The following is a 23,800-nucleotide window of genomic DNA, read 5'->3' on the forward strand; positions in this document are numbered from 1 at the left end:
TCCGCGAGCTCTTCCTGCAGCTTCTCCTCGCTCAGCTCTCCCACGGCCCTGCCCACAATGGTTTCTCTCAGCCCCGCCCGGCCCTGCCCCACACCCCGCCTCTTATCTCAGCCCCGCCCTCAACCCAGCCCCCAATTGTTTCTGTCAGTCCCGCTCGGCCCCTCCCCCAGCTCCGCCCTCCTCCTCTCAGCCCCGCCTCCACCCCCTCCCCAGCGGTTTCTCCCAGCTCCTCCCTGCTGGTATAGCAGCTCTGGGCCCAAAACTCCTGCCTGGTGTCCTCGTCCCACCCTTCCACTTACTCTTCCTCCCTCCCGTTCCTTTTCCTCCTTCCGGTTCTTCGTCGAGGCTGCCGGTCTCGAGGTCCCCTGGCCTTGGCCTGGTTGGCTGGCGCGCATCAGGGCCAGGTAAAGAGAATAGCGTCTCCTAGCAGCCAGGGCGTGCGTACGTGCGTGATGTCGTCAGTGCGTGTCTTCGAGAATGCGAGATTCATAATGTTTGCTGTCTATATGCATGGCTGAGTACGTGCCTCCCGCGTACGTGCGTGGTGTGCATACATGCGTGATTGCGCGCCCACGTACGTTCTTCGTGAAAGGGATGACGGGAGCTGTATGAAAGCGGAAGAGTTATAGACCGCTAACACCTGTCACTGGCCACTGGTTTCCCGGAGTTAGCGGCAACGACCTTGCAGCCTGGACACTAGCCAGGCGCTCCCTCTTCTCACAGCGGCCCACGTCTCCTTGCTTGGGAGCCCATCGTCCTGGCTCCGGTGGCCTCGCTGGGTCTCGGGGAAGCAGAGGACTGTTCATTCCTGTGGCGAAAAGCCGGAGTCGGCCCTAGACACCCACGACTCGCAGGGTCCATGGTTCCGGAGGCCGTGAGACCTGCCGGGGCTGACAGGTGCCAGGGCCCATGCTGCGGGAGCCTGTGTGCTCAGCCTTCTTGCGGACGGTACCTGAGGGCTGGGGTTTCCCTGGATGTGGGGCTGGGAACTCGTGCGGGGCGCGACCGAGGCGCCTTTTCCTGTCCCCTGCTGTCGGCAGGGTCTCGGCTCCGCTCCTTCTAAGCGCGTGTACCCGCGACGTGCGTCTGCGAGTAGAAAGCCCGTGTACTGCTCCACACACAGCGGCCCCACCTCAGTCCGGTCTTCCCTGCCTCCCGTTGGCCCTTCTGCTGTGAGCTCGCCTGGACCTGAGGCCGGGCGGTGCACAGCTCTGTGGCCTGTGGCGCCGTGCTCAGCGTGACCTACCCAGAATTAAGCTGAGGACAATGGGATTTAGAGTCCCAAACACTCGCCCCGTGACAATGGGAGGGGAAGTGTCATTTTTCTCCCTTCGAATGGAGCATGCTTGGCTGCAAGAATGCTGCTCAACATGGTGAAATGATTTTCTGCCCTGCGGGCTGGTGCACCCTGTGGTCCTTGACCCAGACAGGTGCGGAGGGTCCCACTGCTGTGATTAGCAGAACCAAACTGTGATGTGCACATGTGTGTTACTGATAAGACCAGGCCTCCCAGCTCTTCTTGGTTTCCAATGCCTGCTAAGTACATGACCTTCTTAGGGCCATTAACCAGCTTTGCTGTCTTGCACTTAATGACCTTTCCTCTTTATCTTCCTTGTTGTGCAGGTAAAGAAGCTAAGTGGAAGAGTGTTTCCTCCTCTGGCCGTAAAGCAGGTACTCTCTGCAGCACCAGGTAGGAGGGGACTCAACCCCCTTCTTGCCTTTTCAGTTACATCAGTTCCTACTAGGGATTCCACATACACACAGTTGGCGTCTGTTGTGATTTTGTGGTGATGACGAGAAAAGGGTTGGCTAAGAAACTGGGCGGCAGAAAAGAGGCAAACATTCACTGTAGCCATTTATCCCGATGGAAGTGGCCAGGCCCTGTGGGGGACATTCAGCCTCCATCAGAAGTAATCCAGAACCAAGGAACCTGGTTATCTTTGGTCACTCATCAGAAGAATAATCATGCTCAGGGGCCACAAGTGTGTGAGGAAATGGCACCATGGATGGGTTGGTGGAGGGTACACGGGTGAGTCTTTGTGGAAAGTCATTTGCTGGCAGATATCAGCATCTTAGATGGGCGTGCCAGGCGGCCGAGGCATTTCCTTCAGCATGTCTTCACACAGCGAGTGTTAGAGGTAATGTCATTTCTAGTGGCAAAAGTGGGAAGCAACTTGTAACTCTCCATCAGTGGAGGAATGGTCAGGCAAATTATGAGACGACCAACAATGGGATATCACCCAGGCAGTGAAAAACAAGGTAGATGAAGATTGTCAGGTGGAAAGAATGGGCTTGATGTGCTGTCAAATGGCAAACTCGTGCCCTAGCCTGTGCAGATGTGTTGGGAACAGCAGTTTGCCAAGATGGCTGAAACAAAGGACCATAAAAGGGCTGGCTTAAAGAACAGACAATCATTGTCTCGCAGTTCTGGAGGATGGAAGTCTGAAATCAAAGTGGTGGCCAGGTTCGTTTGTTCTGTGGGCTGTGAAAGACAATCTGGTCTGTCCCTTTCTCTTAGCTGCAGGCGGCTGGCCGGCAATCTTTGGCACTCATTAGCTTGTAGAAGCATCTCCCTTATCTCTGCGTTTATCTTCTCATGGTGTTCTCCCTGTGTGCGTGACTGTCTCTCAAATCCCCCTTTTCATAAGGACGCCAGCCACATTGGATGCGGGTCCGCCCTGATGGCTTCAGTCTCACTTGATTGCCTCTGTAATGACTCTGTTTTTATATATAAGGCCACATTTTGAGGTGCTGGGGTTTAGGACTTCAACATACGCATTTTAAGAGGACACAATGCAACCCATCACAACTGACAAAGGCTCTGAGGTAGAAACAAGCTTGGCATGTTCCCTCAGGGGATGGAAGGCCTGTGTGGCTTCAGGGTGGTGAATAAAGGGGAGAGGAGAGGACGTGGCTGGGGTGGGAAACCAGATCAGGAGGGACCTTGAGTGCCCTGAGAGGAAGTGTGGATTCTGTGCTAGTTGGGGCAGGGAGCCCTTGAAAAGTTTCAGTAGAGGAGTGACATAATCTCATTGTCCCTGTACCAAGATCATTCCGATGGCAGTGTGGTCACAAGAGTGCAGAGGACAAGTGCTGGGGGGGGGTGGGGGTGCTATCAGGAGACTTCTTCAGAAGGCAGGGGGTTTTAGGGGATTGGATTGGGATTGTGGCCATAGAGATTATGGAAAGGGATCAGATTCAATGTCGGTTTTGGACACAGTGCCACGGGATGTGGGCCGCAGATGTGGGAAAGAAAGGCAGGGCAGAGAGCAGCTAGGTCTGGGGCAGGAACGCTGTAGCTGGTGATGCCACTCACAGAGGTGGAAGGGAGGTGGACTTGGTGGTGATGGTTGGGGTCCTGAGTATGTACGGGCCTGTCCACCTAAGGCTGAGTCTGAAGGGGGGTGGCCTGCACCACGGGATTCAGAGCAGGACGGTGAGCAACGTGGGGGTCCCAGAAGGAGGGAAGGAGTGTGCCCAGCCATGCTGGGGCTGCTGAGCATGGACTAAGATGAAGACAGGACTGGCATGAGGCCGGCCATGGGTGCTTGTGGGGATAGGTCAGTCAGTGGAGTGGGTGGTGGGGGGGGTGGGGAATAAAGGGAGAAAGGTGGGGGTGGGGGCAGAAGGTTCAGAGAGGAAGTAGAGACTGCGCATGTAGACAGCTCTTCTGAGGTCTCGGCTGTTCAGGGTTGTAGAGAAGGGAGGCAGAGTGGGAGGCGCGCGTGTGCTCAGAGTAGGGATGCTGAGCGAGCATAGATGGTGGCTGGTGGCACCCAGGGCCCGGAGTGAGCCAGAGGAGCAGGGTCCAGAGCACAGCAGGCAACCGGCTCAGCTGAGGCAGCTCACCCCAGAGGCGGGAGAAAAGCAGGAGATCTGGAGCTCAGAAGGCTGCAGTGCAGACTGGGAAAGGAGTGAATACCAGGCAGCTTTGGCCCTATCAGGGCTTTGTCTCATGAGGGTGGGTATATTTTCTTAAAATCATAGAGCGTACTAGAGGTTGCGTTTATGTGTTGAAAGGAAGGACAGAGAGAGGAGTAGGGGCAGCTCAAGGGTGGAGTTCAGGGCCGGGGGCGGGGCCACGGGCCTGAGGGGTGAGGGCAGCCACTATTTCTGACTGTTCTATTAGGTGCCACGTACTGGGCTGGGTGCTCTTGGTGCCTTATCTCCCTTCCTCACAGCCATGTGGAAACTGAGGCATCTCAAGAGTCTATGACTGGGCTGAGGTTCTGGTTTCGAGCCCAGGGTTCCTTCCAAGGCACAGGGCCGTCCTCCATGCAAGAGGAGGGGACCCTCTCCCAAGCCAGACACGCAGGAGGCTGGGCAAGAGTTGTGGGAAGTCAGAGCCCGTGTGACTGTGGGCTGGTGCCTCATTCTCCTCAGCCATAGAGTGGGCCTCACAGTACCACTGACCCTGCTGGGTTACTTGAAGATTCAATTTGATGATCCGAGGATCATGCCATCCCAGAGGCTGGCACGTGGAAGGCATGTGTGTGGGGTTGCTAGTTGTTCTGATTATCATTCTTCTTTTCTCAGCTCAGATTGGGACAGGGGCATCTGCTGACAGTGGAGAGCAGTGGTAGGGGAAGGGGCTTGAGGAAGGTGGCACCCAGAGGGGTGGAGAGGAGATGTCTGACTGAGGGCCATCTGAGGTCACGGTGCATCCTGAGGACAGAGCTGAGATTGGATATCAACGATGTGGGCTCAGCAGCCCTGGAGTAGGAGCTGGGAAGGTCAGTGCCTTGGTGGCGGCAGGGCCAGGGCACTGAGAGTATTGGCAGGGCACAGCAGGGGAAAGGGAAGAGAAGCAGAGGGTGGGACTCTCCCTCTGTGCTGGAAGAGGGCTAACACCAGCCCGGACTCTCCACTCTGGCTAGGCCAAGGGGGCCCTCTGTCCTCTGTGTTGCCCTAGGGCTCGGTGACCTCTGTCATAGCACTGACCACATGGTATCCTGCCTGTGCCTTCCTCTAGCTGTCCCCGCCCTACTCCGGACCGCCCCAAAGACTCCATGGGATGGACCTGAGTCAGCCGAATCCCAGCCCCTTCCCTTGGGCCTGCTGTGGTGCTGGACATCAGTGACAGACGGAAGCAGGAGACCATCAAGGTCAGTGCGATTTAGGCCACCTGAGAGACACGGGGGGAAGGTCAGGCCACTGCCCATGAGCTTGGAGGGCTGGCGTGTGATGCGCTTCTGTGCTTCCGCAGGCTACGGGAGGCCCGGGGCGCTTGCGAAGATGAAGTTTGGCTGCCTCTCCTTCCGGCAGCCTTATGCTGGCTTTGTCTTAAATGGAATCAAGACTGTGGAGACGCGCTGGCGTCCCCTGCTGAGCAGCCAGCGGAACTGTACCATCGCCGTCCACATTGCTCACAGGGACTGGGAAGGCGATGCCTGGCGGGAGCTGCTGGTGGAGAGACTCGGGATGACTCCTGCTCAGATTCAGGCCTTGCTCAGGAAAGGGGAAAAGTTTGGTCGAGGAGTGATAGCGGGTAAGTGACAATGTACCAAATGCGCAGACAACGCCTAGGGCTGCTGCCCAAGATCTTGCTTGGGAATTTGGGGGCTTCTCTTGTCATCTGAACTGATTGGCGTGTATAACACAGTTTCCTTTGGCAACACACCTTCAAAGGGGCGGCAAGGACCTTGGGCTGGGGGTTGGTATGGCTGGCTTCCACGAGTTCTGGTAAATCATTTCTCCACTCTGGGCCTCAGTTCCTGTTTCTGATCTCAGTGAGAAGCCTGGTCAGGGCCATGTGCACATGGTGTTTGTGGTGTTTGGCTGTGTGTATTTGCACATACATGTGTGAGTGCACATGTGTGGCAGAGACCATGAAAAGCAGCCCAGCCCGCCGAATGGGTCAGGTGGCCTCTAGAGTTGGGCTGCCCGCCTGGCTTCATGAACCTGCCCCAGCCCCACCACTCACAGCACCCTGGGAAAGTCCCCTAACCTCTAGGTGACTGAGGCCCGACATCAGCATCTGTCCCCTGGTGACCTGCTCAGGCATCACCTGTAGCTTCCCAGGCAGTGGCTGGTGCCCTTCCAATCTGCAACCGCTGCCCTCAGAAGTCTGGCTTGGACCTGCCTCTTACTTGTGTGGCTTCATGAGGACAAGGCCCTCTCCTCTGCCTTTCTGGAGCCCTCCCCCTGCCTCTCCCAGCGTTTCCTGAATCGGGTTTGGTTCGTTATCAAAGCTACGGAAGAAGGACTTGACTCCCTTCTTGTCATTTTGCTGATGCTGTCTTACTCTCTATTGATTGTGACTTTGAGTAACTGTGTTGTCACATGGGCAGGCCTTGGGCTATGGAAGTGAAAGGCATTCATGTGTATCTCTCTTTGTGTACAGGACTCGTTGACATTGGGGAAACTTTGCAATGCCCCGAAGACTTAACTCCCGATGAGGTTGTGGAACTAGAAAATCAAGCTGTACTGACCAACCTGAAGCAGAAGTACCTGACTGTGATTTCAAACCCCAGGTGGTTACTGGAGCCCATACCTAGGAAAGGAGGCAAGGATGTATTCCAGGTAGACATCCCAGAGCACCTGATCCCTTTGGGGCATGAAGTGTGACAAGTGTGGGCTCCTGAAAGGAATGTTCCAGAGAAACCAGCTAAATCATGACACCTTCAATTTGCCATCATGACGCAGACCTGTATACATTAGGTTAAATCTGAATTTCCACTGCTTTGGAGAGTCCCACCCACTAAGCACTGTGCATGTAAACAGGTTCCTTTGCTCAGATGAAGGAAGTAGGGGGTGGGGCTTTCCTTGTGTGATGCCTCCTTAGGCACACAGGCAATGTCTCAAGTACTTTGACCTTAGGGTAGAAGGCAAAGCTGCCAGTAAATGTCTCAGCATTGCTGCTAATTTTGGTCCTGCTAGTTTCTGGATTGTACAAATAAATGTGTTGTAGATGACTGGTTAGTGTTTGAGGCTTTGTTCTATGTTTTCCCCTGATTTGTTCTGGTCAAAACTCATCAAATGTGTAACTAGCATCCAGGCGACAATACAGAAAGTCTGGGACCTGGCACTGAATGTTTGCCTGGTAGTGACTAGCCGTTAATCAACCGACTCATCCAGGATGAAGAGGACGTCAGACTTAGAGCAGCTGTCTGTCCTTTCAGGTTACTCTCACTCTTCTGAAAGTGTCTGTCAGTTTCTGAAGCATGTGTGTTACCTGCATCACACAGCTACTTCCTATCCTAGCAATACATCCAAAATACAGCTCTAGTAGAGTGAGGTTAACTTGGAAATGTGATCAGTAGTGTTGTTTTATTTTGTAGTAATTTTTTTTTTTTTTTGGTGATTTAGCAAAGTTTCTAGTTGTTATCCATGAGGATGATGGGCATTTCCCCCCAGGTATTGACTGCAGTGGCCCTTCTCTTCTGAGCCAGGATGTTATGGTGGTTGTACATCCCATGGCAGATGGGGTGGCCTGACTTTCAAGTGGGCCTCTTTGGAGGCCCCTGGATGCTAGGCTAGGGATGCTGAGCTGCTGACCAGACACTTCCTGGCAACATTGGGAGGGACCCATGAGGAAACAATCTCCTGTTTGAAGATACAGGAAGATATTGCCGGAATCAGGCGTCTATTCTTTCTCCTGACCAGCAGGCCAATCTCAGGGGACCAGGTCTTCCTGGGCTTGGCCTCGACACTTCCTAGCAACATCCTTTGCTGAGTGTGTGAAAATGCTGCTTCTCCAAATAAACAAGGACAATGGGGACCAAAGCCTGTCTTGGACAGGATTTCCAGCCTCCCCTGGTTTCTGCCAATGAGATGTATATAATATACAAGGTTAAAAAAAACACAGACAACAGTTCTCATTTAAATTGTTTATTATTTATTTCCATGGAATTTTGTTTTTCTTTATTAAGACCAAAAATGTGTTTCTCATTAAAAAATGGCAACTTTTATGGGCCATTAGTGGCCTGTGACTTCACGAATTTGCAGTGTTTCTGAACTGTTCACAGAGTCTACACTTGTAATCTGAGGAGCCTTCCTACTCCTCCTCATCGTCAGAGGGCTCATTTGGAGACATGACTGAGAGGGAGGCCAACAGAGCATAGTAACAGATATTGTACAAAGACATTACACTACCATTATCTGAGTAAACCAGACTACTAAGAATCCCTGTGCCTTCCATCCAGGTAGTAGCCGAAGATGTAAATGTGACATTCCCAGAGGTGCCCTCCCAACTTGGGCCATTTGGTTCCTGAGGGGGCCCATTTCCCAGGGGATGCCTAGTGGCACTCTTCTTGGACCACATGCCAGAGCGCCTGAAGGACTGGGTGCCACTGGGCCCCTGAACACTGGGGGCTCCCTGCTGACACATTTTGATTGCTTCTTTCCTGGCATTGATGTGATAGATACGTAGGGAGCGTCTTGTAGCTACCAGATTCTTTCTCTTTGGAGTTGGGACACGGGTCGCTTGCTGAGCGGTGTTTCTGAGGGCATCCTTTCTCTGGATATTCTCCAGGAGCCTGGGCTTGTCTCTCTGAAAATTGGAGTTGCAGTAGATCTGAAACAAAATGAAACATGTTAGTTGTTCTGGGATAAATTATTCCTTTCCCACCTCTCAAAATTATGATTTTGTTTTGCAATGGAGAAAAGAATGCTTTAAGTGGCAGCAAGTGTGGTTATGCTCTACAGCATGACCTGACTAAAGATAAACAATTCATAGATCAAGGCAGTAATATATAAACAGCATGGATTTTGATATTAAACTGCAACCCCGTAGAGGTAATATGCAGGTCTGCAAAATATGATGCTTACATTATCTCTAAGGGGGTTGTAGTTTAATATCAAAATCCATACTTTTTAAGTTCTATACTTTTCATCTTTCAATAAACAATATTTCACATTTTCAAATGCTATCCTTGACACTTAAGCTCTTACAGTATATTATTCAAATTGGTGTCCTATGAAGATATGTTTGAGAAAGAGAGAAAAGGGATTACAGAAATGCTTTCTACTTTACCATCATTTTCTTGTTTCCTGGAGAGTTGCTTGGGCGTGTTTTGCAGAATCCATAGAGGTTCAGCTGGCGAATGAAACTCGTCAAGCTGTCTGTTTTGAAGATCCTCTCTGCACCTTTCCGTTGAAGAACCTCCCTCTGGAAGAGATCCTTGTCGATGATCACGGCGTCTCCATCATCGTTCCAGCTCACAGACTTGAATGTGTCTTCCTCCACAATCGTCCAAAGCTTTCTTGGGAAGGAGAGCCTAAAAAGGTTGTGGTTGTCTTCCACGTTGACCACGCGTTGGTTTCGGTCTTCTGGTGGTGAGTTATCTTGGGAGCCTGGATCTTGGCTCATGGCTTGGTCCTCGTGCCTGTCCAAAACCTCGCTGGAATCTGGATTTGGATCAGGTGAAGAACCAGATGGGCCCCCGCTTGTTGGCTCTCCACCAACAGATGGGGCCAGCTTGGCTTCATATTCCTGTTCAGTGTTCTGACTCGCCATGGAGCTACACCAGAATCAGGAGCATTTTGTACCCAAGGCCCTTATCACTGTCCTAGCAAGTCCAAAATGCCTTCAGTCAGAGTAGGCGTGCCCAATAAATACTGTCCACAAAATTCTAGAGTCTCGGTATCAGGGCAACCAGTGGCTTAACTCATCATCTGCTGTATTTGTCACATGATGTCACAAAGGTGGCTCTCAGCCAATCTGGAGAGGGGGCCCTGGCCAGGTGTTGGGGGAGTAGACAGGTGGCATGGCCTTCAGCTTCTCCCTCTTCTAAAAGTATAAACAGGCATGGTTCAAGTTCCCAGAAAAGTCTCCCATCTTCTGACAGTCACATTGTGTCAAAGGGCCAGGCCCCAGATGAGCTGAGAAACCATGGCTCTATGGCCACTCCCAACCCTGAAGACAGGGGAGGCCATTTGCTGGCCTCTAATTTGCTCAAGAGCCAGCCCCTAGTTATCCCTAGCTTGGGTTTCACCAAGACTGCCTGACTCATATGGACCCCTCATGGGTGACTGCCTTCTAGGAGATGGTGGTCCCTACCAGGCTGTTTGGCCTGATCTGTGTGGTAGCACCCCTCTTTTCCAATCCCCCCATCTCCTTTCTGCTTTGGTCTCTTCCAGGTACTCCTAATGATTGGTTGCATGTGCTCCAGTGGGCCCAGATAAAGTGTTTCTTATTCCCCTTGGTCAAGTTGTCCCCAGAGTGGTGCTGTGCCTGAGCATGGTGGGAGCACTCCCCTCACTCGTCTACCACTGTGTTACCCAGAGCACCATTTGTGGTTGGATGGCCACATCCTCAGCTGTGCTTTGGAGTCTCCTGTGGAGCTCTGCTTGCCCTTGCATCTCACCCTCTTGCAGATCACAACAGGAGATTACCTTTAGTTTCATTTTTGCCCATAAATACTGTTTTCATTGCCCAAGACATGTTCATTTCTGAGGCCTGCTTTACACAGACTAGCCTAAGAAAAGTTTCTGCTTGTCTAGTTAGACCTGACTAAAGTAATCCAGCACAAAAGTTCCATCATTATGTATTTGAAAACAGATGAGCGTATGAGTGTGTGTTGCGGTGGGCAGGAGGAGGGAGAAAACCCAAATGAAAGCCATGTTCAACCCCAGATGAGAGGATACAACAGTCTTTCTGGTGATACATTTTCTCTAGCCATTAAAGACAACTTTGTTCTTAATATTCACTCTGTATAGGGAGACAGAGTGATACAGTGGAAAGGCACCAGACTGAAAGGACCCTGGGTCCTTGTCCCACTGAGTAGCACCCTTTGCCCACTCAGGGTCGGCCCTGAGTGCGAAGAGGGTTGGAAGAGGCTCTTCCAAGGTGCTTTTCAATCTCAGGGCTCTCTAATCCTTCATGGTGCCCCCAATGCCTGGATGCAGGCTTGGTTCATGGTCACCAAGCTTTTTAAACAGGTTTACAAAGGTTTTGTTCAAGGACTCAGTGTAACCTGTAGACACACACACTCTGAGGCTAAATATTAAAATAGAGGCCATTGGTGAGATCTCTAAATGAGGATCCTTGAGTATTCAGTTAGACAGCTGGTATCTTTCACTTACATACCAAAGTGCTTTTTCATAGGGGAATTCTTAAGACTGAGAATGACATTTTGTTGTGGCTTTTGCGAACTTATAAACTCTGCTGATTACTTATATAAAGGCTTTTGGCCATTGGGTGGGAGGGGAATTATCATGAAGAAAATTACTAGGGAAACTACACGGTGGCATTCAGCCAAGAGCTGGTATTGATTTGATTTAGTCACACTATGTCATGTGGCTTCTATAGGACCATTAGCGACCATTGTCCTTTGTTTTAAGTCACAGAATGTACACTGGGATTTCGAGTCTAAGACATCAAGCTCCTCTTGTCCCCTGGAGGGAATATTCAGGGCACTGACTTAAGTCTAGTCAAGAAGAGTCATGGTGGGAAATCCAGCCTCCTCTGGCTAAGCCTGCTCAGTCCCCAAAGATGAGCTCTGCAACTTTCAGCAACCATTCAGACATTCTTTATGAGTCACCTGCCACCTGCAAGCCACTTTGAGGAAAATGGTTGGTCTTCTCTTCCATGCTCCAAAAGCCCCTGAGATGGCCCCTCTGCGTTGCTGCATTATGAATAAAATCATCATGGTCAGGCGACCCAAGCAGAGCACAGCTGACTATGGTATGAGGACCAGTGGCCCTGTGGAAAGCGGTCTCAGTGCTGACTCGCTGCAGCTTCTTTGTAGCTATGCAGCAATCAAGAATAGTGCTGAGCTCTTGATGGTGGGGCCCCAAGGTATGAGGCCAGCCACAGGCCAAGACTTGCTGTGTAGGCCTTGCCTGTCACATGATCCGCCAGGCCCTCTTCATCCTCCCCGTGGCCTCTCAGGATCTTCTTCCCTGCTGATCTCTCCCAGGCTCCAGGATGTGTCCCTGCAGTTGGTTCATCCCACCCCAGAGGAGTCTTTCTAAACTGTGGCTCGGAACTTGTCAGTTGCTTAGGCACCACCTCCTCACACTTCCAAGGCCTTCCTTTCCCAGCCTCGTTAGCCACTGGGCTGCTCTTTCTCACACACTCAGGTATCCGCCATGCCACCTGCCCTTAACCCTCCTTCACTCAGCATTTGCTTGATGCTGGGTCCTGGGTAAGACAACTCTCAACCTATTGCGGGATCTGGCCAGCAGTCTGCAATGCAACGGTGCTCTCTCTTTGTTCCCAGGCAGATCGGCAGGTCGAGAAATAATAGACACACGCAAGATAGCAAAATCTGGGTCCAGGGGGGTCACCGCCTTCTGCTCCCACGGTGCCAACAACGCACTGGATATACCGGCATTTATTATTAAGTTTGGTGAGAGGGCAGGGGAAGGTTAGTGAGGGATTTAGGGTCATTTGATTATGAGGTGAGATGGTCACATGGGGATGAAGTAATTCTTTAACATAACATCTGTATGCAGAAGTACAGTATACAGGGATAAGAATTTATGATATAGTGTGTGCATCAGTAGTTTCTAACAGAGCCTTAAAACAGAAACACAGTCTTTCCATGACCTATGATTAGCAAGATATTAATCAGCAGTAACAGTTGCAGCAAAAGCTGGTTACAAACAATCCATAGAAACAGGATGTGAAGCTAGACAACCGGTTAGACCAGAAATTCTCAGAAGGGAGTATGCCTTAACCCTAAAGAGGCCTAGAAGAGCCGTGGCAAGATGAGGGCGTTTATAGCCCTATCTTATCCATATGGACAGGTGCTCCTCATGCATCCGTTTATAGGCTCTCCACAAGGGTCACATTCCATTCCCAGAGCTATGAACATCTGCTTTTCTAGGATAGGAATCTTGGTGATGTGAAACCTCCCTGACTGCACGTCCATTCATAGGCTCTCTGCAGGGGAAAGCACATCACGTGCTGTTGGCTCATTCTGGCAGTCCAACCTGGCATTGTCTTTACACAATCCTGCATGCAATTATGTATTTACAATAATCAGGAGCATTTCATCTTTTATTCCATAGCAATAGTTTCAGGGGGTCTCCCTACATCAACCTCTGGTTCCCTCTGGTGCTGTTTTCTGAGCACACTGTGAACTTCCTTGCTGGTAAGGGTGCTTGTGCTGCCTCCCCTATGGGAATGCCCTTTTCAACCCAGAAGTCACTCAGCTTGTCAGGGTCCAGGTCACTCCATGAGGTCAGCTGGCAAGGCTTATTCCCAGGGGCTGGCCCAGCACAGCTCTCCACCATTGGTTGGGTGGATCCTGAACTCCTATGAGGTTGGGCATGTTGATGAGCCATCTCCCCTCTGGACTAAGAGGCCCATGAGGATGGCGGAGACCACAGTGCAAATGTGGCCCTCAATACATGTTGGATGAGGCAAGTTCTATGTCACCAGGAGCTCAGTGGGGTTTAGCATCCTTGGACATGGCTCCACATTAGAACAGTGATAACAGAACAATTATTGTGAGCTCCTATTGAGACAGGAAAATAGGGTCTAGAAACAGGGAACTTAAGGCCACTCTGTGCTAACTTCCTAAAAGAGAAAACACCAGGGTCTGGAGGCAGGAAATCTAAGGCCAATTCACTCTGACTTCCCAAAGCTGGATCAAAAGGAAAATACCGGGGTCTGGGGGCAGGAAACCTAAGGCTGATTAACACAAACTTCCTAAAGCTAAACCAAAAGACAAAAACCCCATCTCTCCATGCTGAGTAACAAAGGATCAGAGGCTACTCTCCCTACAACCATCCCTCTTCCACCACATCTCAGATGGAAAGGGAGGGGAGGGTGCCTTGTTGACCATGGGCCAAGCAGGGACCATCCCTTCATCTGCATAGGGTGCCAGTTCACCTCAGCCTTTAATTAGCCACAGACCAAATCCTTCATCCAGATAAGGGGTAGTCATTAAGAACCTCAAATAGGGTACTTAAAGCCCAGAAAACTTTGTAACTGGGCCCTTGAGCCACTTGCTCAGACCCACTCTCACCTTGCAGAGGGCTTTCTCACTTTAATAAATTCCTGCTTTCACTGCTTTGTTCCTGCATTTCATTCCTCTGCTACTTTATGCATTTTGTTCAATTCTTTGTTCAAAACGCCAAAGACCTGGACAACTCATAGTCAATCTGCTGTGCTAAGTGCTCTGCTAGTCTGTGTCATTTACTGTGCACACCCATCTCTTGGGTGGATATTAGGAATGAGCCCATTTCTCCAATGAGCCAAGCTAGGCCATGGAGGGGTTGAGCCATGGTGCAGTTTCTGCAGTGAAGAAGCAACAGGGCCAGAATAGGCCCACATGGTCAGACTCTCAGACTTACAACCTTACTCAAGTACAATGAGTGTTCCAATGATCTGAGCAGAAGAAGTTGTCTTTGTAAGCAGAAAATGGCTGAAGAAAGCAAAAAGAGAAAACAGAGCAGATTAGTCATTGATGTGGTTTGGCTGTTTTGTCCCTCTAAATCTCATGTTGAAATGTGACCTTCAGCGTTGGAGGTGGGTTTAGTGGGAGGTGTTTGGGTCATAGAGGTGGATCTCTCATAAATGGTTTGGTGCTGTCCTTGTGGTAATGAGTGAGTTCTCTGTTAGGTACAAACCACCCCAAAGAGCTTCTTGGTACTGCCAACACTCCCCGCAAACCTCTCCGCGCTGCCCACCCTTCCCCCAAACCTTCTTACATTTCCAAGCCCTTATCTAGGCACCGCAGTGAAGCCAGCCTGATAGAAGACTTTACCTATCAGGCCTTGCTGCGATAAAGCAAACCCCAATTACAAACCATCCGGACCAAACGGGGAGGTTGTGGGAAGCATAAACAAACTTTACCTACACCCTCCAGTACCGTAAACATCACAAGGTGATATGTGGCAGAATTAACCAGCAGACAACCCCGGGATGCAGCCATACCAAAGGACTCCCTCAAACTCCCTGCCCCAATGTAAACCCCCTATTCTGTAAGCTTGGGGCTGCTTTCCTTGACTGTTAAGGGGGCAGCCGACAGGTTAATAAAGGCTTGCCTGAACTTGGGGCTCTCTCTCTCTGGTCCTTTCTCTCGGCTAACCTTACATTCTCACTCTCTAAGTTCACATGAGATCTGGTTGCTTTAAAAAGCCTGGCAGCTCTTTGTTCTCTCTCGCCATGTGATATGCTGATTACCCTTTTGCCTTCTGCCATGACTGCAAGCTTCCTGAGCCCTTACCAGAAGCAGATGCCAGTGCCATGCCTCCTGTACGCCCTGCAGAAGCATGAGCCAAAATAAACATTTTTCTTTATAAATTACCTAGCCTCAGGTATTCCTTTATAGCAATGCAAAACTGACTAACATATAAAATTGGTACAGGAGTTGGGTGATGCTATACAGATATCTGAAGATGTGAAAGCAGCTTTGGATCTGGGTAATGGGCAGAGATATCAGAAGATATCAGAAGAAGACAGGAAGATGCAGGAATGTTTCAAACTTATTGGAGATTTGTTAAGTGGTTTTGACCAAATTGCTGACAGAAATATGGACAATGAAGGCCAGGCTGATGAGGTCTCAGATGGAAATGAGGAATTTACTGGCAAAGGTCACCCTTGTTATATCTTAGCAAAGAACTTGGCTGCACTGGGTCCATGCTCTAGAGATCTGTGGAAGTTTGAACTTAAGGGTGATAAATTAGTGTATCTGGCCAAAGGGATTTCTAAGCAGCAAAGTATTCAAGATGTTCCTTGGCTGCTTCTAACAACCTGTCTCAGATGTAGGAGAAAAGGAAAGACTTAAAGTTGGAATTTATAATTAAAAGAGAAGCAGAGCATAAAAGTTTGGAAAATTTGCAGCCTGACCATGTTGTAGGGAAAGAAAGAGCATTTTCGGAGAAGAAACCAAGCAGGATGCTGAGGAACCACTTGCTGGAGAGCTTTGCACGACTAAAAGGGAGCCAAGTGCTACTATCTAAAACAATGGGAAAAAGCCCTTGAAGGCATTTCAGAAATCTAGGCCCCTCCCATCCCAGGCCCAGAAGCCTAGTGGGTAAGAATGGTTTTGGGGGCCAAGCCTGGGGCCCTGCTGCTCTCTGTAGCCTTTGGACACTGCTACCTGCATCTGGCTGATCCAGCTCCACCCATGGCTCAAAGTGCCCCAGATACAGTTCAGGCCACTGCCTTGGAGGACACAAGCTATAAGACTTGGTGGCTTCCCCATGGTGTTATGTCTGCAGGAGAACAGAATGCAAGAGTGAAAAAGGCTTGACAGCTTCCACCTAGGTTTCAGAGGATGTATGTGTTGAAAAGCCTGAGTGCCCAGGGAAAAGCCTGCCACAAGGGTCGAGCTCCTACAGAGAGACTCTACTAGAACAGTGCTCATGGAAAATGTGGGGTTGGAGCCCCTGCACAGAGTCATCATGGTACTGCTGAGTGGGATTGTGGGAAGGTGGCTGAGAATGGTAGAGCCACCAGCGGCTTGTACTCTGAACCTGGAAAAGCAACCGGCACTCAACTCCAACCAGTGAGAGTAGCCATGGGAGCTGCACCTGCAGAGCCACAGGGATGGGTATGCACAAGGCCTTGGCATCCCACCCCTTCCATCACTGTGCCCTGGATGCAGAATATGGAGACAAAGGAGATTATTTTGGAGCTCTAAGATTTAATGACAGCCCTGCTGGGTGTCAGACTTGTGTGGTGCCTGTTGCCCCTTTCTTTTGGCTGATTTATCTCTTTTGGAATTGGAATATTTACCCAATGCCTGGATCACCATTGTATCTTGGAAGTAAATAACTTGTTTTTTTATCTTACAGGCTCATAGTTGGAAGAAACGTGCCTTGAGTCTCAGATTTTGGAATTTTGAGTTGATGCTGAAATGAGTTGAGACTTTTGGGGAACTATTGGGAAGGGATGCTTGTATTCTGCAGTGCAAAAAGGATGTGAGATTTGTTGGGGGGTCATGGGCAGAATGAAACAGCTTGGGTATTTTGTGCCCTTCAAATATCATGTTGAAATGTGAACTCCAATGTTGGAGGTGGGCCTAGTGGGAGAGGTGTTTGGGTCATGGGGGTGGGTCCTTTATAAATAACTTGCTGCTGTCCTCACAATAATGAGTGAGTTCTCTCTGTCTGTGAGTTCACATGAGATCTGGTTATTTAAAAGAGCCTGGCAGCTTCTCCTTTTCTTGCTTGCTCTCTCACTCGCCATGTGATATGCCAGCTCCTCTTTTGCCTTCTGCCATGAATGGAAGCTTCCTGAGCCCTCACAAGAAGGCTATGATGACGCCATGCTTCCTGTACAGCCTGCAGAAATGCGAGTCAAAATGAACCTCTTTTCTTGACAAATTACCCAGCCTCAGGTATTCTTTTATAACAGTGCAAAAGTGACCAACACAGTCATTTCAAAGTTACTTTCCTTCTAGAGTTAAAAGATGAGGGGACACGCTTATAACACTGACTCAGGTTGACTGAACCTTCTGAGTATTTTTGTATTTTTTTTTAATTGGCCCCTTTGAAAGTTCAGTATAATTATGTGGCATTCGGCACAAGTGACCCCATTCTGGTTGGGTCTGGTCAGCCGGGGCTTAGGGAAGGAGGCTAGTCCACAGCAGTGGCATCCCCTGAAGTTTGTTTCACACAGGCCCCTGAGTTAATGAGTCTTTCTAAAGGAGGCTTTGCTTGGTTTGCTTATCAGCCATCTTTCCACTCTTACTGTAGACAGGGACACCTGGATGCTCATAATTTGCTTTTTTTTTTTTTTTTTTTTTTTTGGAGACAGAGTCTCGCTCTGTAGCCAGGCTGGAATGCAGTGGTGTGATCTTGGCTCACTGCAACCTCCGCCTTCCAGGTTCAAGTGATTCTCCTGCCTTAGCCTCCCGAGTAACTGGGATTACATGCTGGGATTATGTGCCAGCATGCCCAGCTAATTTTTGTAGTTTTAGTAGAGACGGGGTTTCACCATGTTGGGCAGAATGGTCTCGATCTCTTGACCTCGTGGTCCACCCGCCTCAACCTCCTAAAATGCTGGGATTACAGACGTGAGCCACCACGCCTGGCCGTGCACGTTTTTAAAAATTAATTAATTTATCCTGTTGCCCTGCTCAGAGTAAAATATGCTGGTTTTCTTTTCTACAGTATCTTAAAAGCCTTTTGTAACAATGTTTGTGAGCAATTGTGTTAAAATTATTCTGAATTAATATCTAATGCTTGAACACACACACTGTGCATGTCTGTGTGTGTGTGTTAAACTCAAGTATAGCACATAGAGCCTCTGTAGGTGATAATTCTTGCCTCTTGGGTTCCCTGGAAAAAGGAAGTCCATATGGAAAAGAGAGGCAGTCTCCAGGTAGAGATACATCTTCAGGGATTTTAAAGGAAGTTTTCAGCTTGTGTTCTATAAAAGCACCAAAGGTGACTTGTGTGTATAGCCCCTAGGTTGGAGGAAAGCCTTGCTGGTTTTTCTTTTTCTTTTTTCTTTTTTCTTTTTCTTTTTCTTTTTCTTTTTACCTTGCTGGTTTTTGCTGGTTTCATTGCAGCATTTCAGCTCTCCTGCAACACCACTGACATTTCTCTATTGTTTTTCTCCTCCACACTGAGACCTATTGGCTCAGAAGTCCACCAGCATAAAACCCAGATTTTCATACTTCTAAATTGTTTTCAACATAGCTCAACCAGGAAGATTGTTAGGCATTGGAGGCCTTCCTGGCTTTCATACCCTGGTAAACCTCACCCCACATGTGCTAACCATAGATAAGATGGAGCCTTGTGGTTAGAAGACCCCCAAGACACTGTCTAGCTGCTGAGAAACATCACTTAGACTCATAAGCTCCTTCTCCAATTTCCATCTCCCCCAGCAGTTCTCTTGCCTTCCTCCCCATTTGATGGTGATCCCACACCCATAAACTCTAGACAGTCTTTTACTCTGAGGATGTCCCCGCTTCTGCTACCCTATCCAAGCACCACCCAATAAAGTTGTTTGTGTGGTACTGCCCCTGGTTGGTCATAGCATTTTTCTTGATCAACCCCCTAATCCTGCACAGTGTGCAATGAACTCTGCTGAACTTGGAGTCTCGCACTTAGAGGTTGATGATTATCTGAGCTGAGGTGTGTGATTTTAGGGGGTCTGTTTGGACTGTTAAACTGATAAGGCCAGAAGGCCTTAGAAAAGCACACCAGGCAGGCTTCTCACTGGGACATGGAATGCTGCTGTTGCCTGGTCTTGAAGCATCTCAGCTTTCCTGCTGCAGTAGAAAACTCTCTGACTGTTTTGGAACCCAGAAGTCACAAATTACAATAGGCTTGTCTCGACTCTAAGCTAAAACCCAAAAATGTCCACTCTGGGCTGTTTCAGACTCATGTCAAGGTGTGCTGAACAGAAAGCAGGCATAGCTCGATGCACTGGAGGGGTCTTTGACCCTGTGATCCTGGTAGGTTTTGAACACCCCTCTCTGGAGTTAGAAACTGTCACAACCTAGATGCTGTCCTGGACTGTCTGCATCTCTTGCAGATGCCCATGATGAGGGGATTGTTCTCTGGTGGGGCCAGCGAGAGTGGAGCTGTTCATGAACACTGTATTTTTGATGTAGACAGGTTGCATTTTTTACTGGTAATGCTGTCAAAAGCTGCACATTGAGGGAGGGCACCCAACAGGAATTGTGATCCCTCTGCCCAATTGTGACAGATCAGTCTTAGACCTTCTCTCTGTGATGTCCACTGCTGGTGACTTGTGTCCAGCGATCCACATTAGTTTCAGTTTGGGAAAGTGGACAGACAGCCTGGCTACTTTCTTTCCTTGCTTCTGGCCTACAAGTCAGGCAGTAGGATTATCAAATGCAGCTGTGCCCAGGGAGGGATTATTATTTTTTAAATTGTTGTTCTACACTGCTCACTGCATAAATGAGCAGGATGAAAAGGAGTAAACCCATTTTGGAATCTTTTGGAAATGCGGGATTTCTTCCTGACTGCTTCCTAAACATGAGGGGCCTTTCTGTTCTCATGATGCTGTATGACAGTGTTTTTCTGTAAAAACAGTGTCATCTCTCTTTCATATAGCCCTGCCAGGCAAGAAGGCCAGGGGGAGGGTAAGAGATGACTGAAGCAATGTAAAGCTTTTATTGTTGAGTGGGCCATGCTGATTTTATAAGGATGGAGGAAAAAGAGAATGAGACATCTGTAGAGGTGTGGGAGAAGGCATTGTGATCTTGGTGTTTCAGAACTATTCCTGAAAGCTTTCACCTCTTGCTGAAGGAAAACACCCCATGCTGCCTTTGAAAGCTTCTGCAAGTTTTGTGTATCCAAAATGATGGCCATGCCTGAGACCACACCTGACCCCACCGACTAAGGGACAGAGGAGGTGGCCCGAGCTTCTCCATGTTTCCCTTAGAGCGCCTCCAGGTGTCCTCTGGATCTGTCATGCACAAGCCAAACTGTCTGCAAGGGAAACCAAGGATGGAACTGGACTATATAGCCTGTACTGGAAAACAGGCCACAGTGTGGTACTGTTAACCTGTGCTGCCTGACTTAGGTACACCCTCTTGTGTTGCCCAAACTATGGTACACTCTGAGTTTGCAGGGAGACCATGTGTATGCTCGGGTATTGTACAGCTTATGTGCCCTGCCTGTCATGACACTGCCTCAGCCCTGGATGGCTTCCAGGTCAGCTCGAACTTCCTGTCCAGAGCTGTGTTTTACCTGAATTGATGCCCCAATTGATTGAATTGGCCAAGTATAAAGAAAAAGTACTGAAATTTAAGAGGGAAGCCACGTGACTGTCTAAGATACATCTCTTTGGTTAATGGGGTTTGTGTTAACTGGTTCAGTACAGGACCCCTAACAGGCACAAGTGACATCTATATGCAGCTTGGTTTCCACCCTGTTGTGTCAGGTCCTATGATAATTTTCCTGTAATATGCCTTGGCCAGTGGGGTGCACTGTGAAGAAAAGAGTTCACACAGCAGGCCTCACTGCTATCTTTGGCAAAGCCTGCTGCTTTCAGTGTTATCCATTGGCTGGATTCTCAGGACTTGGATTTGGGAGGGATTCCACCTTTCTCAGAACTGATCAGGGTGGTTCACTATACCCAAGCTGCTTATGCAAACAAAAAGCTGCACACTGCTTTCCTCCTGGGAGTCTGGAATTTTGGTTCATGCCAGGCAGAACTGCTTATGTGACCAGTGCCAAGTTCAACTCATGGGTGATGAGGTTTTACTGAGCTCCGCTGGTTGGCAGCATTTTACATGTGTGGTCACACCTTGTTGTGAGGGAATTAAGTGCGTTCTATGTGACCCTACTGGGAGATGAGATGACTCTGGAAACTTGTGTCTGGTCTCCTGCACTTCTCCCTGTGCACCCTTTCCCTTTGCTGATTGTGCTTGGTATCCTTTCACTGTAGTAAGTTGTCGTCGTGGGTAGGACTATATCATGAGTCCCATGAGTTCTCCTAGTGAGCTACTAGACCTGATTCAGTGGTCTGGGTTCCCCCATTTCATTTTGGGGACCCTGACACACCTGTCCATCCCTTCCGTCTCCCACTCCAGGGAATTTCAGATTAGGACGCTGCTGAGAAGAATCATAATGGCCAAGCTTGCTTAAGTGCTTCTTAGGTCTCAAGGACTGTTCTCAATGCTTTGCAAACATCCATAGATTCTATTGTTCCACCCATTTTGTGAAGGAAACTCCGAGTCCTATCTATGCAGCTTTTCTGTAAATCCAACTCTGTTCTAAAACAAAATGGTTAGGTTTCTAAAAAGTAAATAGTAACAAGAGCATTGGGGAAAGAAACCAGACTTGAAGTAAGATCAATATGGCAGTGAAAATTCCTGTACCATGTTTTCCTGTTGTATCTCTAAGCCTGGAGTCACAGTCAGCCCAAATATGAGAACTGCACATGAGGTGTGGACAGGAAGAGATCTATGAGAAAGATTTTCCAGGAATCCACTGATAAATGAATGAATAAGAAAAATGTGATATATACATACAATGTTATATTATTCATCCTTAAAAAGGTAGGTAATTGTGGAATAGTATACAACATGGATGAACCTTGAGGACATTAGGCTAAGCGAAATAATTCAGTCACAAAAAAAGGAACTACTGTATGATTCTACTTACATGAAGTACTTAGAATGGTCAAATTCATACAGACAGAAGAAAGGTAGTTGCCATGGCTTTGGGATAAGAGGGAATGGGGAGCTAATGTTTAGTGGGTAAAGTGTTTCACTTTTGCCACAGGAAACAAGTTTTTGAGATGAACGGTGGTGATGGTTGCATAAAAATATGAATGTACTTAATACCACTGAACTATACCTTTAAAATGGTTAGGAGGGTCAATTTCACATGTGTTTTACCAAAATAAAAATGTTTTATTAGAAAAAAATGAAACCAGGCCAGGTGCAGTGGCTCACGCCTGTTAATCCTCACACTTTGGGAGGCCAAGGCAGGAGGATTGCTTACATCCAGGAGTTTGAGACCAGTCTGGGTAAAGTTGCAAGACCCTATCTCTACAAAAATTCAAAAATTAGCTGGGCACGGTGGCGCATGCTTGTAGTCCCAGCTACTTGGGAGGCTGAGGTGGGAGGATCACTTGAGCCAGTGAGGTCAAGGCTGCAGTGAGCTGTGATTGTGCCACTGCACTCAGCCTGGGTGAAAAAGTGAGACCCTTTCTCAAAAAAAAAGAAGAACCCCAAAATCCCCACTGTTACAAAAATGAAGAATGACTTTGATTAACTCATCAATAGACAGGACATGGCTAAGGAAACAAGAAGAAAGCCAGAAAAAAATGAAAATAGAAACTTTCAAAACTGATATGAAGGCAAAAAGGAAGGCAAAAGAGCAGAACGAGTGTCCCACATGCCCAACTGCCCCACATGCCTTAGTTCTCCAGAATCCCAACTTCCCCACAAGCCCCATTGCCCCACAAGCTAACTGCCACACAAGCCCAACTGCCCCACAGGCCTGATTGCATCCCATGCCAACTGCTCTGAAAGCCTGGCTGACCAACAAGCCTGACCACCCCACAAATGTGACAGCCTCACAAGCCTGAGTGCTCCACAAGCCTTAGTTCCCCACAAGCCTGAGTCCTCCAGAAGCCCAACTGCCCCAAAAGCTTGAATGCCCCACAAGCCTGAAAGCCCTACAAACCTCTGTGCTTCATAAGCCTGACTGCCCCACAAGCCAAGGTACCCCACAAACCCTAGTTCTCCAGAATCCCAACTGCCAAACAAGCCCAACTGCCCCACAAGCCCTAGTGCTCCAAAAGCCTGAGTGCTCCACAAGCCTGACTGCCCCACAAGCCCGAGTGTCCCACAAGCCAACTGCTCCACAAGCCCACCTACCACACAAGGCCTAGTGCACCAGAAACACAACTGCTCCACAAGCCTGACCACCCCAAAAGCCAAAGTATTCCAGAATCCCGACTGCCCCACAAGAACAAGTACCAAACGTGCCCGACTTCTATTATTCTATTTATGTGACCTTCTTGAAAGAGAAAACTGAAATGATGGTGTACAAATGAGTGGATAGTAGAGTTAGTGGTGGAGAGGTGGGATTAACTATAATAGCAGGTGGAGGGGGGTTTTGGGGGGAGGAATGTGATGAAATTGTTTGTATTATGATAGTCGTTTTGGTTCCATGAATTAACACATGGGCTAAAACCCATAGAACTGGACACCAAAAGAAAAGAAAATAATTTTAGTGTTGCAGGAAGTCAGGGACCCTGAACAGAAGGACCGGCTGAAGCCATGGCAGAAGAACATAAATTGTGAAGATTTCATGGACATTTATTAGTTTCCCAAATTAATACTTTTATAGTTTCTTATGCCTGCCTTTACTGCAGTCTCTGAACATAAATTGTGAAGATTTCATGGACACTTATCACTTCCCCAATCAATACCCTTGTGATTTCCTATGCCTGTCTTTAATC

At 48.8% G+C, this 23,800-nt stretch overlaps 2 protein-coding genes across 15 annotated transcripts, besides 2 other annotated features; one reads left to right on the forward strand and one right to left on the reverse strand.

Moving 5' to 3' along the window:
* Positions 20–210: a silencer, noted in NCBI's record as "fragment chrX:148621960-148622150 (GRCh37/hg19 assembly coordinates)". NCBI's record gives its function as "represses an EF-1alpha promoter that drives an FKBP-Casp9 reporter gene in an ReSE screen in K562 erythroleukemia cells {active_cell/tissue: K562}" and the evidence as "EXISTENCE:reporter gene assay evidence [ECO:0000049][PMID:32094911]".
* EOLA1 (endothelium and lymphocyte associated ASCH domain 1) lies at positions 206–14,950 on the forward strand. Of its 14 annotated transcripts, none has more exons than NM_001324276.2 (6): positions 617–948; positions 1,624–1,690; positions 4,973–5,105; positions 5,207–5,488; positions 6,344–6,522; positions 9,021–14,950. In NM_001324276.2, exons 4-6 carry the CDS (start codon positions 5,236–5,238, stop codon positions 9,027–9,029), a joined length of 441 nt encoding a protein of 146 aa, NP_001311205.1. In that variant the 5' UTR covers positions 617–948; positions 1,624–1,690; positions 4,973–5,105; positions 5,207–5,235; the 3' UTR covers positions 9,030–14,950. The 14 variants fall into 12 exon arrangements, with proteins under 14 accessions (NP_001311204.1, NP_001311203.1, NP_001311205.1 ...); NM_001324279.2 differs by having other exon boundaries at positions 617–897; NM_001324277.2 differs by lacking the exon at positions 9,021–14,950 and having other exon boundaries at positions 617–1,430; positions 1,624–1,671; positions 6,344–7,936.
* Positions 958–1,167: an enhancer, noted in NCBI's record as "active region_30016". NCBI's record gives its function as "activates an Ori minimal core promoter by ATAC-STARR-seq in GM12878 lymphoblastoid cells {active_cell/tissue: GM12878}" and the evidence as "EXISTENCE:reporter gene assay evidence [ECO:0000049][PMID:35858748]".
* Positions 7,815–9,529, reverse strand: HSFX3 (heat shock transcription factor family, X-linked member 3). The gene is made up of 2 exons (NM_001323079.3): positions 8,975–9,529; positions 7,815–8,515 (listed from the first exon to the last, which is right to left on the reverse strand). Exons 1-2 carry the CDS (start codon positions 9,455–9,457, stop codon positions 7,997–7,999), a joined length of 1,002 nt encoding a protein of 333 aa, NP_001310008.1. The 5' UTR covers positions 9,458–9,529; the 3' UTR covers positions 7,815–7,996.
* Positions 14,951–23,800: the final 8,850 nt, after the last annotated feature.

The sequence above is a fragment of the Homo sapiens genome, chromosome X (genome assembly GCF_000001405.40).
Source record: "Homo sapiens chromosome X, GRCh38.p14 Primary Assembly".
Lineage (NCBI taxonomy): Eukaryota > Metazoa > Chordata > Mammalia > Primates > Hominidae > Homo > Homo sapiens.